Source organism: Homo sapiens, chromosome 15, assembly GCF_000001405.40.
Source record: "Homo sapiens chromosome 15, GRCh38.p14 Primary Assembly".
Classification (NCBI taxonomy): Eukaryota; Metazoa; Chordata; class Mammalia; order Primates; family Hominidae; genus Homo; species Homo sapiens.
This window is the reverse complement of record NC_000015.10, coordinates 93,203,862-93,219,953: the sequence shown is the minus strand read 5'-3', so window position 1 is coordinate 93,219,953 and position 16,092 is coordinate 93,203,862. Positions and strand designations below refer to the sequence as shown.

Below are 16,092 nucleotides of genomic sequence, written 5' to 3'. Positions count from 1 at the left end.
GCTCAGAGGAGTCGGCCTCCAAAGCCAAGGCAAGAGAAGGCTGCTAACATTTTATTTGCCCTCCACCCTGGAGCAAAAATAATAATAATAATAATAATAACTTAAAATGCGGCAGAGGGATTGCCTAGCTTTTATTCAAAGGGGTGATGGTTTACATGAAGCTACGTACCACTAGGTCTTTCCAAGCATCTTTCTTGGACTTCTGCACCAATGTATTTAAAGGCTGAAAACCAAAGTTCCCATCCCATCACAGTGATCTTGGATAAATTCCTCGGCATCCGTGAGCTTTGCATTCCTTGTCTGTAAAATGACAGCAACAACACGAACTTGCAGGGTGGCAGTGAAAATGAAATGAGATGAAACAGAAGAAATTGCATTGCACAGTGAGAGGAGCATAGTAATTGCTCAATAAATGTTGTCCAGTCCACATTTGCGATTTTTTTTTAAGTCACATAGGTAGGGCCAAGACTGCGCTTGGATCCAGTGTGCTTGGGCCAGTGGGCTTGGATCTTGCTTTCATTCTCAAACCTGTCACCCTTCACATACACACTCAATCTCTCTCTCATGCACACACACTCTCTCTCTCAGCTTTGTTTGGGCCTGTACTATAGTGCAGGGGTTGGCTTGAGAGGCAGGAGGAACAGAAGGGCCCAGGCAAGTCATTTCTGAAAGTAAAAGTCAGAAACAGAGACATGGCAGAATGCAGGCCTAATCTACCCCTCTTCACTTCACTCACGTGGCCTGCAGAGCACATGGCAGTGCTGACAGGAATCTATGCACATATGCACTACCCACATACCCCTAAGCAATATATGGTTTAGTTTTGATTGTTTTTAATCTTTATATAAATGAAGCCATCCTTATCTATTCCTGTATGACTTTTGTTTTTCATTCAACATTATTTTTCTGAGATTCATTCATGTTAATGCATGAAGCTGTAATTTTTCCTGTTCACTACTGTATAATATTTCATTGTGTGACTATACCAGAATGTATTCTACCACTGATAAACATCCGTGCTGTTTCCAATTTTTTGCTATTATAAACAGTGCTGCAATGAACATTCCTGTATTGGTGCATATGATCAAAAGATTCTCCAATACATATGGCTAGAAGAACACTGCTGGATCAAAGGTTATGCCTAATTTTGACTTTAGCTAAGCTATTTTGACTTTTGACTATAGCGTCAAATTATTTTTCCAAAGATCTTCTTCCAGTTCACAGTCTAATTTCCTATTTCTTGGCAGAAATGTTGAAAACTACCTTGGAGAATGTTATTCCTAGATTTTTTGAGCTTAATCTCTGAATTTCATTTACCTTAGTGGCCCGTCAAGCTGTCTCCAACATTTCAGAAGCCACATTAATGTGAGAAAACTATGAGAATTATATCCAATTTGTTTCTTTCTTTACTAGAAATTAAGCTATCTACTCTTGCAATGGAATACTTTGAAGAAATGATGGCAAGTAGCCTAAATCGCTCTTTTTCTTCAATACTTAAGAATGTAACTAAAAATTCATACCAACTGGCCGGGCGCAGTGGCTCATGCCTGTAATCCCAGCACTTTGGGAGGCTGAGGTGAGCGGATCATAAAGTCAAGAAATTGAGACCACTCTGGCCAACATGGTGAAACCCTGTCTCTACTAAAAATACAAAAATTAGATGGGCGTGGTGACGCGTGCCTGTAGTCCCAGCTACTCAGGAGGCTGAGGAAGGAGAAGCATTTGAACCTGGGAAGCAGAGGTTGCAGTGAGCCGAGATCGCGCCACTGCATTCCAGCCCGGCGACACAGCAAGACTCTGTCTCAAAAAGAAAAAAAAGAAAAAAAAATTCACACCAATTATCCAGTTGATTTTTAAGTGCAAAATGCAAGAATTCCCAATATTAGGTCACAAGGACAGGTTTTGCCTATTTTCAATGCTAATACATAATTAAACTTCCATCTATGTTTTAAGATTGTTTTTCTCAACCAAGTCTGATGAATTATATAATTTGTGATGTACCTGTTGACAAATCATGCTTCTTTTACATAATTAAAGTAAATGAAACAGTATGCATCACTTATTAGCTGGGTGTTTAAAAAATCTTACAGTCAATTTTTATAACATATAACATGCAAAAATGACAAAATGTGGTGCTTTTTTTTAAGAAATTTCTACAGGATGGGGAGGGGTAAGAGATTGCACACTTTCGGAAGGAAACAGCAGGTGCAAACTTTTGCAAAGCACCTCTCTGCACTACACACCCTCCTCCCCTCTCCACCTCATGTGACCATGGACAAATCAGACACATTGGGAAAGACACACCCTAATCTGTTTCCATGGCCCTATGAGAAGCACAGATTTGGAAATACAATTCCCAGCAAGCCCAGGCATTTTAATGAGCCATGGCCAACTGGAGTGACAGAATCCTTCAGCCATGTCAAATGCCACCACAGCTGGCCCAGGGCAAAAGAAAGTGCCTCCTCCCTGGGACACCACCCTGTGTCCCAACCACATGAGATAAAAATGCAGAGTGCATTTCCCAGCTTCCCTCAGGACCCAGGAGAAATGCAGGCTAAATGCAGAGCAGGGAGCCTTGGCATCTCAGGCCAAGTTGGAATGCCGAACCATTCAAGGAACACCAGCCAAGGCAGGAAATGGGCAGGGAAGGGGCTAAGAGCAAACCTAATCAGTCCAGCAACCTTGCAAATGACATTTGGAAGTGCAAAGTCGTTCTGAGTTCCAGAACAAGAAATATCTTTAGATGTTGAAATGGCTTTTGCCAAATGCCAACCTGCTGAATTTGTTTTTCTTTTGGTTCATTAAAAAAGAATAACCATTTGTGCATTTATGAAAAGAAATATTACCTTCCCAGGGTCTACAGGCAACTACCTGGAATTTGGCGTAGTCTCTCCTTGTGAGCTGTTTTTTTTTCTTTATATCAGCAAATATTGATTGACTATGGTGTGTCAAGGCAACGGAGAAACAGTCCCTACTCTCAAAGAGCTTCTAGTGTGGTGCGTGGACAGAATGAAATGCAGACGATTACGATGCAACATGGCCTGCGGCTCATTCTACAGAAGTGGTGACCACCACGCTACAAAAGCAAGCCGAAGGAAGTGGGAGGAAGTTCCAGGTACAAAGTTTCTGCATACAAAGAGGCACGAGGAGGTGGCAGAATCAGTGCCAGGCTCTGCTAAAAGCACTGGGCATATATGAACCTATTTTATCCTCAACAACCCATGCAGGTGCTGCTACCATCTTCACTTTACAAATGAAGAAACTGAGGTACAGGAAGGTTGATTGACTTCCCCAAGATCCCCCAGCCAGGAATTGGCTGAAAGTAGTTCAAAATGGTTGGAGCATATTAGGGGTCTGAGAGGGTGAGGGGAATGAGGGGGAAACAGGTTGTCAAGACATATAAAATCAGGAAGAAGCCAAATTGTGAAGGTCCACACATATCATGTTGGGAATTTGCAAGCATGTAAGCAACCCCTGAAGAAGTTCAAGGGGGTAATGCTAGGAGCTGAGGTGGGCTCTAGAAAGCTTACGCCATGTATCTTGTGGAAATTAGATTGAATGCAAGCAAGGTTAGTGGAGGGTGAGGGGACCAATCTAGTGAGAGGTAATGGTGGCCTGAACTAGAGGAGTAGCAGTGGGGGTGACAGGCATTTGGATAATTCCAGGGACCTTTGCTAAGTAGAATCAACTGGACAATAGCTGATGAAATGGGAGAGTTAAGGCGGGGCAGGGGTCGGGGTACGGAGGCCAGCTTCCAGGCTCCTGGCGCGAGCTCCACACAGATTATTGGACCACCAGAAGAATTCTCTCAGATCTGAGAATAACAACAATGGAACTGGCCCTGTTCTTCAACTATTTACTAGCACCAGGCTGGACACTTAGAAGAATACTTCTGTCTTAGAAGTATTCTTCTGGCTCTGCCAATGTGACCAGAATGTTCCCAGAGATAGGCACTCCCTCCTCCACACTCATTTCTCTAAGTCTTCGTGCTCTGTGTTTCTGGACATACCGTTTTAACAGGTCCTGGCTTTAGCCATCCCAGGAGGAATGTATGACCCCAGAGTCCTGGTGAAGAATGAGCAGATACACCCAGTGGCCTCTAGACTTTTCCATCACAACCCATCATGTCTGCATTCTTTTTTAAACCCAAATCAGACTTGGGCCCACGCATATTTTCCCAACACTTTAAAGCCACGTGTGGGTTTTCAGTGAAATTGAATCTGTATGTTTCTGATCCTTCTACACTTCAGTCATTCCCGTGATTTGAGGAAACAGCTACTTGACATCCAGGAAACCTTCCCGGACATTTCATGACATTTCAAAGCCTCCTTTTCTCCTGTCTTAGACATAGGAAGCAACAACCTGCCAAGTATAAGCAAAACCCCTTCTCCAAGATGCTTGAGTCTGATTTTAAATGTCTTTCTCTGTAAGAGTTAGAGAAAAGAAAGCAAGAGATGAGGTAAGAGCAGAAAGCCTACGGAGAGAAGGAACAAAGAAACCAGCAACATGAAAAGTCCCAGTCATCAGACTAAGAAACTACTGTCACCATTTTGGTATTTGTTTAGGGTATTTGTTTATTAATTTGTTCCCAAGCCCTTTCACATAGAATTTGAAGTGGCAACAAGATAACCATAAAACAGAACCTGTAAGTAAAAAAATTATCAGAACCATTGCTTGAGGCCAGGAGTTTGAGATCACCCTGGGCAACATAGCAGGACCACCATCTCTACAAAAAAAAAAAAAAAATAGCTACGCATGGTGGCACACACGTAGTCCCAGCTAGTCAGGAGGCTGAGGTGGGAGGATGGCTTGAGCCCGGGAGCTTGAGGTAACAGTGAGCCATGATCACACCACTGCACTCCAGCCTGGGCAACACAGTGAGACCCTATCTCTTTTAAAAATCAAATAAATTGGCCGGGAGCAGTGGCTCACGTCTGTAATCCCAGCACTTTGGGAGGCCAAGGTGGGCGGATCACGAGGTCAGGAGATCGAGACCATCCTGGCTAACACGGTGAAACCCTGTCTCCACTAAAAAATAAATAAATAAATAAATAAAATTAGCCGGGCGTGGTGGTGGGCGCCTGTAGTCCCAGCTACTCGGGAGGCAGGAGAATGGCGTGAACCCAGGAGGCGGAGCTTGCAGTGAGCCGTGATCACGCCACTGCACTCCAGTCTGGGTGACGGAGCAAGACTCCATCTCAAAGAAAAAAAAAATCAAATAAATAAAATATCAGAGTAAAATAAAATAAAAATATCAGAACCAAAGAAATCCAAACTGCATTGGGAGGTATAGGCTTCCAGTTCAAGATGGCAGCCTGAGATCAGCCTGTCCATCATCTTCTATCTCTTCCAAGAACCTCTACAATAAAAATATAAAAGGACAGAAATGAATATGCCTACATAGTAACTGTGTCACTGGGGACTCTAATGAGCTAGAATTGAACCCATGCAGAGCAGTCCTAAAGCCTTTGAGCCCTCCACCACGCTAGGTGCCCAGCATGCAGGAGGGAACAACAAATTGGGTCAAATAAAGCTAAAGCCAATAAACATGTTTAATATGGTTTTAAAATAAAAAGCATCCATGTTCAGGCATCTGTGCTAATTATCCACAAGGAATAGTGCCTTCTGGTGCTGAGCCAATCCACAAGCAATGAGGCCGCCATATGCCTCTTTCTTCCTGGCTGGGGGGAAACAAAGCTCCATCTCTATGCAAATTGAAACAGACCTCCTTAAACCTGACCATGTGCTTAACTGCACGTGAGGCACAAATTCCACAAAGAAACCCAAAATCAAATCACCACTGAGAGTTTTTCCTGAGAAGTCCAGCAACCAAGATTTTCTCCCTGGAGAAGTTGAAAGAAAGCAGCTTGTTAACAACTGGGAAAATAATACCAAGCAACCCTGAACTGCCAAAGAGGAGGGGTGGAAACCAAAGGCCAATTCCAGACCATTCCAGATAATTAGCCTCTGTGATCAGACTGACTAGAGTGGCCCAAATTCCCCATCTCCAAGACTCAGTTTCCTCATCTGTAAATGGCAACAGTAACATGACCCAACCACAGAGACCCTGCAGAGTCCAAGCACAGAATGTACTCAATGGCTTAGGACAGCATCTGCCATTTTGGAAGTATTCTAGAAGCAGCTTTTACCATTATTACTCTTAGTATAAAATATTTACAAATTTTATTTTTAATTACAATAGATAATGAAGAGCCATAAATACAGAAAACTATTTGTCTGTGCCATGGGCTCTGTGATCTTGCAAAGTTCCACCAAGTGGTCTTCCCCTACTTAGTTCTTCCCAGGCCAGGCTCCAGGTCCAAGCTCTTCCCAGAGCTGGTTGTCAGTTTCTAATTATTTTTAGATCCTGGCTGAGTGATTTCTGTCCTTTTTCATAAGGGCTGGATGACAGCTTGCCACTAAGAATAGCACTTCAGTTTAATCAGCAAGTCGCCAGGCTTTGTGACCATGCCGGCACTCATGGGAGGTCAGCTGGCTGTGCTCATCTGCAGACCTCAGTTGCCCACACAGACATTGGCTGGGCCCGCTGCCCTCACCATTGCCACATCCTGCTCTTTATGGACCTTTCAGGACACCCAGAAGAGGTGTAGAAATGTCCCCTCTCGGGAGAGAAAGGGAGGGAAGGTGGGAGAAGCCTACACCCAGAATCGCTGGCATCTCTTCTGAGATCTTTGAACCTGGAACTAATAGAATTGGACTATATAGAGAATTTAGGCTCAAAACTCACCTTCAGACTGGAACATCGGAAAGTGGTCTTCCTTAGGAAGGGTGAATGCAGCCTTTTATTCAGATGGGCAGGGCGAAGTGTTATACAGGAACCCTCCCCATATCCTGTTCTCACAGGCATTCATACCTCCATTTTACAGAGAGGACACGGGGCTCACAGAGGTTGAGTCACTTGCTCAGGGTCACAGAGCTGGGCAGTGAAAAGGTGGGATTTGAACCCACATATTCCAGTTCATGTCCAGCGCTCTTCTTAGTACTCCAAGCTGTTCAGGACCTGTCACAATCCCAAAGCCAGTTCTGAATGAGCAGATTGTTCACCCCACTCCACTAAGTCATTCCAGCCCAGTGCCACATTCTGCACCCTCCTTCCACTTGCTGTCACTCACCTTAAGGCCTTGGGGCCCATACGTGCCGTCACTGGCCTAGTACGCCCAATGGGTCCCCATAGACCTTTCAGCAGTTCCCATGCAGTCTGCGCCTCCCAAAAGCTGGGGACATGCCCCTTACCAGGTAACATCATGAAAAGAAGAAATTCTACCTCAAAATGAGGCTCTACAGTTTGATGTGTGGGTTCAGATCTCAATTGTTCATGCCCTTTCACTCAGCAACACCACTTCCACATAAAAGAAGAGAACTTCTCTTCTATATAAAGGGAGAGAACTTATGAACAAGAGGTTCTTGACAGACTTTGAACAGTAGAGGACTGAAACCACCTAGGAACAGGCGAGCTGCGTAGCCTAATGTCTTAGTCTGTTTGGGCTGCTATAACAAAATAACATAGTCTAGTACACTGACCAGTCTTATAAACAACAGAAATTTATTTCTCACAGTTCTGGAGGCTGGGAAGTCCAAGATCAAGGCACCAGCAGATTCAGTATCTGGTGAGGTCCACATTCCTGGTTCATAGACTGTGACTTCTCCCTGTGTCTTCACATGGTAGAAGGGGCAAATGCACTCCCTTGAGTCTCTTTTATAAGGGCACTAATGCCATTCACAAGGGCTTTATCCTCACGACCTAATCACTCTCAAAGGCTCCACGTCATAGTGCCATTACCTTGGGGGTTAGGATTTCAACATATGAATTTTGGGGAGGGACACAAACATTTAGACCACAGCACATATTATTACATATGCACAAGCTAAAATGATATGGGAAGTAAAAGCCATGTTAAAGAATGTTTATGATGTGGAAAATACATACGATATGAATGCATAAGATGCATATGCTAGGATCCCAGTTACTTATGCTAAACACACACACAATATGAACATGTTCGCTCTTTGATTCAAATACGCATCACCTACTATGTTCTCAGCAGTAGAGATAAAACAGAGAACACCACAGACAAAAGCGTTGGTCCTTGTGGTGCTGACATGCTTCAGAGGAGGGGGCAGAAATAGACAATCAACAGAATAAGTAAGTAACAACTGTAGCATATCAGTGACACCTGCACTGGTGAAAACTGAAGGAGGAAGTAGGGAATGATGGTGGAGTGGGAGCGACTGCAATGGGCATGGCGGTTCACACCTGTAATCCCAGCACTTTGGGAGGCCGAGATGGATGGATCACTGGATGGTCAGGAGATCGAGACCAGCCTGGCCACCATGAGGAAACCCTGTCTCTACTAAAAATACAAAAATTAGCCGGGCCTGGTGGCATGTGGCTGTAATCCCAGCTACTCAGAAGGCTGAGATGGGAGGACTGCTTGAACCCAGGAGGCAGAGGTTGCAGTGAGCCAAGACTGCGCCACCACACTCCAGCCTGGGTGACGGAGTGAGACTGTCTCAAAAAAAATTAAAAATAAAAATAAACTTGCAGGTGAGAAAGTCCTCCATGAGAAGCAAAGAACCTCCTTCAGGAGGTGAGGGGCCAGTCATGAGCACATGCTGAGCTAGAGAGTTCCAAGCAGGGGGAAAATGAGTAAGTGTCAAACCCCCGGAGGCAAGAACCAGCCTGGCTGAGTCATGGGAAGGTCAGTGAGCCCAGTGATCTCAGCCCAAGGGGGCAGGGGCTTAGCACCCAGAGAAGAGGCCAGCAGCGGGTAAGAAGGTTTCGGTTCACAGACATGGAAAACCACTGGGGCTTCAGCCGAACAGCATGATCTGAATATGTTGTAACAGGATCGTCCTGCCTGCTGGTGTTGTTCCATCAGCACATCAGCAATTAGTTGCTTTGATGGTAGGAAGGGGTGTGTATGTGAGAGAGATATATCTATATCTATATCTATATTTATCAGGCTATATATATATATATATATATATATATATATATATATATATAACAAGTGCGTTTGATAGGATCTCCAGTTACACTAAACATATAGGTAATCTGAATATGTTCATTCATTGATTCAGCAGATATGTATTACCTACTATGTGCCAGGCAGTAATCTCAGCCTCTCAGTTTATGTATATATATAAAACTCATTACTTTAGCAAAAGAAGAGCAATATAATAAAATGAAACAAAAAAAATTAAAGCAGGCCAGACATTGCAAAGTGCCTTGAATTTCTCATAAATAGATACCAGATTTCGTGGTATATGTGAGGTGCAAATATTAATGTACCTAAACTTGACCAATAGCATTAATCAGTTTCATTTATTCTGATAGTAACATATCAAAGTATGAAAAACACACACATAAAAAATGCTCTTCCTCATTTTCTGCCAAATTCCTAGAATTCCTTCCTGATCCACTTGAAATATTACCTGTGTGACAACTTCATATTCTCCTGATCCCCACCACCATTGCCCCCACACCCCCCACAGAAGAGAAATTGCTTTCTCTTCTGTGTTTCTATAGAACTTTCTATAAACCAGTATCATAGAATGGTTCCTAATTTTTTATCTCTGCTGGAATAAGTGCTTATTGTCTTTATATCCTCAGCTCCCAGCACAGGGCAGAAAACATTTTGCCAATGGGACCACACTCTCTCCTCCAATCACAACTTTCTTTCCCACTGAGCCTAGGTGTGAATTCAGTCAGAATGCTTTTCAACACCGTGAAATCAGCAGCTGGAGGTGGCAAGCTAAATGAAGTCCAACTGCCAATCAGACTTACCTTAGTGCCTTGGAGCAAGGTAGGTGATGCACCTTCAAGTTTTGTTGATTAAACAAGTAAAACGAAAAACTATTGTTAGGTTTCTGTAAAGAAGAATAGTAGATGAATAAAGTAATGCAAATGCCCACACTATAAAAACTAGGACAGGCATATAAATGACCAATTGGCAAATTCAGACACGAAAACAATAGCTCTGGAAATTCACCCAAACGCACTCAACCACAATGATGTAACTGCAGTTAGATCAGACATGTTGCTGAAACCAATTAGGCTGATCAACTGCTGTGAGTCACGATCGAATGATAGCCGTTATGTCAATATATGTTGGCAAGAAGTAGCTGTGCTAGAATTCTGGCATGCGTGATCTCGCTACGATCATACAGTTTACGAAAAAGTATAAGTAAAAGCATTAATACAGTACTGAAAGGTGCCCTCAACATTTATGATAAATTGGCAACAGCATGTTCTTGGGAAGAGCCCAGAACACGTCAACTTAATGCTGACCCAAAGGCTAACTATTTTTTAATTTATAAAGTAATAAAGCAGCTAAAAATGCATTGATACAATTATCACACTTAGTAAGGACACTAATAAGACTTTTCAAAGTTTGTAAAAGCTCTGAGAGAGGAGTTGTTTTTAAAAAGAAAAAAATGTAACAGAAGCCCAACTTGTTTCTGTTCAGATCTCCATAGACTGCTCAGTCAACAGAGAGTGACATGTTGCAATGAGTTAGCCCCAAGTTCATCTTCCAGAGCATTTAACTGGTGCGGCACATTTGAATCATCTGGGAAGTTTTGAAAAACATACTCATGCTCAGGGCCTACCTGAAAAGTTCAGTTTCTCTTAATCAAAGAGGACCTGGACATCAGTATTTTCAACAGATCCCCAGATCTGAGAGGCGCAGTTCTAACCTTTACAACGGTACTTCAATATCTGTTCAAGACAAGACCCCAGAAAGGATATCTGGACAGGAATGTCAACAGCAAATTTTAATCACCCCAAGGCTGCACTGTCCAATAATGTCGCTACTTTGGCAGTTGAGTCCTTGAAATGTGGCCAGTGCCCTTGACAAACAGAATTTTTATTTTATTGTAATAAATTTAAATTAAAAAACTGATACTCAATTTAATTCTTAGAAAACCAGTCGGGCGCAATGGCTCACGCTTGTAATCCCAGCACTTTGGGAGGCCAAGGCAGGTGGATCACTGAGGTCAGGGGTTTGAGACCAGCCTGGCCAACATGGTGAAACCCAGTCTCTACTAAAAATATGAAAACTAGCCGGGCGTGGTGGCGCACCCGAGTAATCCCAGTTACTCGGGAGGCTGAGGCAGGAGAATCACTTGAACCTGGGCAGCAGAGGTTGCAGTGAGTGGAGATCGTGCCACTGCACTCCAGCCTGGGCAACAGAGCAAGACTCCATCTCGGAAAAAAAAACAAAAACAAAACAAAACAAAAAAAACCTTTAAATATATTTGGAACAACTTGGGTATACAAATCTACTTTTCAACCGTAAATTTTGTGAACTCTAAATACAGATCAAGTATTTCTGGTAAAAATTCCATGTCTGAATTGAGATGTGCTGTAAGTGTAAATCACAGACTGGATTTCAAAGACTTTCTACCAAAAAGAAATGTAAGTATCTCCTTAATAATTTTTTATATTGATTCTATGTTGAAAAGGTAATATTTTTGATATAGTGAATTAAATGAAATTATGTTGTCAAAATTCATTTCTCCTATTCTGATCACTTTCTAAATGTAGCTACTAGGAAATTTTTTACTACATAAATGTGTGGCATTATATTTCTATTGGTCAGTACTCTAAGAGATTTGGGTATCAAAAAGAGCACTGAAGAAAAATGTTTTGAAAAGCAAATAGCCAGCTCCTAATTCCAATTTTGCATTCATCAGGAATTTTCTTGAGTCAGTGAGTACTTACCTGCGTTAGACCATGTGCTAACATTGAACTAGATGTTTCATAGCAGAAATGGTCAAAGAGGATATTATGCCCACTTGCAAAAAATCAACCCTTAGTAGAAGCCACAAACTCAAGATACCATGTACTTTCAAATTCATTCATTCATTTTTTTTTTTTTTTTCGATACAGGGTCTCGCTCCATCACCCAGGCTGGAGTGCAGTGGCACAATCATAATTCACTGCAGCCTCAACCTCCCGGACTCAAGCAGTCCTCCCACCTCAGCCTCCCGAGTAGCTGGGACTATAGGCATGTGCCACCATGCCTGGTTAATTTTTTTATTTTTTATTTTTGTAGAGACAGGGTCTCACTATGTTGCCAAGGCTGGTTTTGAACTCTTGGATGCAATTACAGCCACTGCGCCCAGCCTCAGATGCTTCAGATTAATTTTTTTTTTGTGGGGGGGGATGGAGTCTTCCTCTGTCCCCCAGGCTGGAGTGCAATGGCGCAATCTCGGCTCACTGCAACCTCTGCCTCCCGGGTTCCAGCGATTCTCCTGCCTCAGCCTCCCGAGTAGCTGGGATTACAGGCGACTGCCATGACGCCCAGCTAATTTTTGTATTTTCAGTAGAGATGGGGTTTCACCATGTTGGCCAGGCTGGTCTCGATCTCCTGACCTCAGGTGATCTCTCCGCCTCAGCCTCCCAAAGTGCTGAGATTACAGGCGTGAGCCACCACATCTGGTCAGATTCATTCTTTCATTCAAGGGTTCCCAACAACCCTGTAAGTTATGATCATTATTATTACTATACCCATTGTACAGGTGAGGAAACAGGCTCACAGTAACCTGCCCAGGACCACACCACTGGTATGTTGCGACAACAGGACTTGGACCCAGGTCTTCCAAACCCAAATTTTCAGCTCTTTCTGCTTCATCGTACAGCCTTTCTGAAATATGTTCTATTAGTTAGAAATTCATTGTCCATGACTTTTTCCCTAAATACAAGCTTCTTCTCTGAACAAACCACAACTCTGCCCAGTTGAACAGTTAAGAGTGTCAGAAAACTCAGCAAACAGCTCCCCTCTCCAACTCTGAAAGCAGCATCTTAGCCAAGAGCCTATGCAGGGCCTGGGCCCTCGGGAAGTGTATGTAATGTGGGGTGGGCCTCCTCTCTGTTTGCCTAGGACTCATGTAAAGTGTAGCCTCTGAGAAATGCTTGGGAGAGCTGCCTTTCTAGGCTGCTGGGACCAGATAGCATCATCATTTGATTCCTGGACTCAAATAAAAATAAATGCAGAGAACAGAAATCTGAACATCTCTAACAAAGCTACTTCAAAACAGAAAACTGAAGGTGGCGGGGTGTTGTAACCCATCCATCAGCAGATCTTTACTGAGCACGCATGGGGAACCCAGCTCTGGATTAAGCCCTCGGGAGCCTTTATTAATGAAAAGTCCCATTTTCTGTGATGGGATCCATAGAAGCCCAAACCTCAGCACCACCCGATATACCCTGGTAACAAACCTGCACACGTGCCCCCTGAATCTACAATAAAAACGGAATTGTTTTCAAAGTCCCGTTTTCCAAACCCAAAGGACTTTTTCAGAGATAGCCTGTGAACAGATTTCAAAGGCAAACTGAGATTGAGGTAAACTGCAGCCTTGGGGCGTGGCTTTCGGTACAGACTATGGGAATTCAGGTCCAAGAGGCACTCAGCATGCTTTAGGGCTGTGGTCGGCTTGGGTGTCAGCTCTGGGCTGACAATGTTCGATTGTGAAGCCCCACCAGGAGCAGTGGGGAGGTTTGGAAAATGCTGAGCAGCATGCAGGGCAGCGAGCAGGGAAAAAAAGGTCCCCTCTGCTCTGCCAGGCCCTCTCCTGTTGCTTCCAGCCTTGGCCAGGCTCACCCAAAGCCAGACCTGAGCTATGGCTAGGGGTGCATGATCCGTGCATGTCCTGTGCATGGCAGGTGAGCGCCTTTGGCAGATCATCAAGAAACTAGGGACCTCTTGGGGCTCTAGAATTTGCATAAAGATCATGACTGTCTTTGTAGCATAAGCTAAGATACCTCTCCTAACTTATTGAACCCAGAGGAGTTCCACACAATGTGTGTGTGTGCAGGTGAGAAGCTATGTACCTTATTTGTGAGTGAGAGTGTGTGTGTGTGTGTCCATGTTGATGTCCAGGGCCTTAGAGTTTTATATAAGGAAACCCTGGGAGTAAAACCATGTTCTTTGTGGGAAAGGGGCATGGTCATTAATTCGACACCGAACACTACTTACCAAGCACAGCGATAGGAAGATTTAATGAGATCATTTATGTGAAAGCACTTGGTAAGAGAAGATCCCTCAAGTATCAAGGATTGTTATTATGTTAACACGTTCTGATGATCAAATGGAAAAAGTAGTAAATTACAGAAAGGAGAGATGAAAGTGTGGGAAAGGAATTCAGAAGCTAGGATTTGAAAGAGACATTTTAGGCAAAAAATTGAGAGGGCCTGTAAAAAAAAAAAAAAAAAAAAAGAGCCCCTTCCAGCTGCAGAGAGGGTTGGGAGCCATTTCCCTGAAGACACACCACCTGGCTCCCTGCAGCTATTTGTTGCAACCTCACACTTCCGGGATTGCTCTGATGCCCTTCACTTCAAGCGCAGAGACAAAGCTCCAGCTGAGATCCCGAGAACCGAAGGCAAAACTGAAGAGAGGGTTGATATCGTTCAGCAGCAGAACACGCAGAAACAAACAAATACACAAACCACACACCTTGGATTTACCAGAAAATAACATAAGCCAACGGGAGACAAGAAAGGGACGGTAGTAATTTCCGATTGCTGCTTAACAAATTGCCACAGGTTTCCCAGATGAAAACAACCCCTTATTTATTCTCATTGGTCTGGAGGTCAGAGGTCTAAAGTCAAGGCATCAACAAGGCTGTGTTCCTCCTGGAGGCTCTCGGGGACAATCTGTTCCCTTGCCTTTTCCAGCTTCTAGGGGCCACCTGCATTCCTTGGCTTGTGACACCTTGTGGTGCCAAGCCCCAGTAGACTCCAATGGGGAGGACCCCATGTTCAAAAGGCCAAAGAAGAGACCTGGAGCCAGTAAATAAGACATGGGGTTTTATCGAGAGCTTACAAACAGGGAAGTGAGTCCAGTGGCAGCAGGCTGGGCAGAAGAACTGCAAGCACTTATAAAAGGCATGCAGTCTATATAGCATTTTCACTTAGCGCCCTCCCCCAAACAATCTTCACCTGGCAAACTTCATTTTACCCAAAATAAAAGGCCTTGATCCCCTATACAGCCTGCATTCCATGGGCCAGGCCGGGGTCTCAGATGTTCCTCATAAATAAGGAATGGATCTCCAGGGTGGTCGCTACTCCCGGATTTCTTAGCCTGGGACTCCGAACACACATTCAGGTGCATCTGCCATACGGAGTGTATTAGTCCATTTTCACACTGCTATAAAGATACTACCGGAGACTGGGTAACTTATAAAGGAAAGAGGTTGAATTGACTCACAGTTCCGCATGGCTGGAGAGGCCTCAGGAAACTTACAGTCATGGTGGAAAGCAAAGGGGAAGCAAGGCACATCTACCATGGTAGCAGGAGAGAGAGGCCGCAAAGGAGAAGTGCCACACTTTTAAACCATCAGATCACATGAGAACTCACTATCATGAGAACAGCATGGGGGAAACTGCCCCCACAATCCAATCACCTCCCACCAGGTCCCTCCCTCCACATGTGGGGATTACAATCCGAGAAGAGATTTGGGTGGGGACCCAAAGCCAAACCATATCAGAGGGTCATTGTTAGTGTATGCTCAAGTCAAGTTATCACCGTCAGGTGCGTTTATCATACACACCTTCCTCCATCTTCAAAGCCAACAGCATAGCATCTTCTAGTCTCTCTCTCTGTCTCTCTCTATCTCTGTCTCTCTCTCTCTCTGTCTCTCTCTCTCTGTCTGTCTGTCTGTCTCTCTCTCTCTCTCTCTCTCTCTCTCTGTGCTTCCATCGTCACAGAACCTTTTTCTTTCTTATAAGGACCACTGTGATTACACCGGGCCCATCTAGCTAATCCAGGATAATTTCCCCATACGATTTCTAACTTAATCATATCAGCAAAGTCCCTTTTACTATGTGAAAAGTATCATATTCACAGGTTCCAGGGATTAGAACGTGGACATTTTGGAGGGGACATTGTTCAGCCTACCACAGTGACTATCTCAGGCTATATAAATGAAGGTATTATGCTCAGAAAAAAGAAGGTGATGGAGTCTGTTCCTTTCTATCCTGGAGTCTGTTCACTCCTAGGGACTTCATCTTCAAAGGAATGGAGAGCACCTATTACAAAGCAAACACGGTATTATTTTATTATAACA

At 43.8% G+C, this 16,092-nt stretch overlaps 1 long non-coding RNA gene and 1 pseudogene across 2 annotated transcripts in view; both read right to left on the bottom strand.

The window, feature by feature from the left end:
• LOC105370982 (uncharacterized) overlaps window positions 1-7,491 on the bottom strand; it is a 171,228-nt gene extending 163,737 nt beyond the window's left edge. Inside the window, exons 1-2 of the long non-coding RNA XR_007064770.1 lie at window positions 6,749-7,491; window positions 170-300 (exon numbers count right to left, since the gene is read on the bottom strand). This is a non-coding gene — a long non-coding RNA (uncharacterized LOC105370982). The remainder of the gene's footprint in view (window positions 1-169; window positions 301-6,748) is intronic.
• A 4,415-nt stretch (window positions 7,492-11,906) lies between these two features.
• Window positions 11,907-14,221, bottom strand: LOC105370980 (putative uncharacterized protein UNQ9370/PRO34162; annotated as a pseudogene). The gene has a single exon (NR_172652.1). The product of NR_172652.1 is annotated as a putative uncharacterized protein UNQ9370/PRO34162 (transcript).
• Between the last annotated feature and the right edge of the window lie 1,871 nt (window positions 14,222-16,092).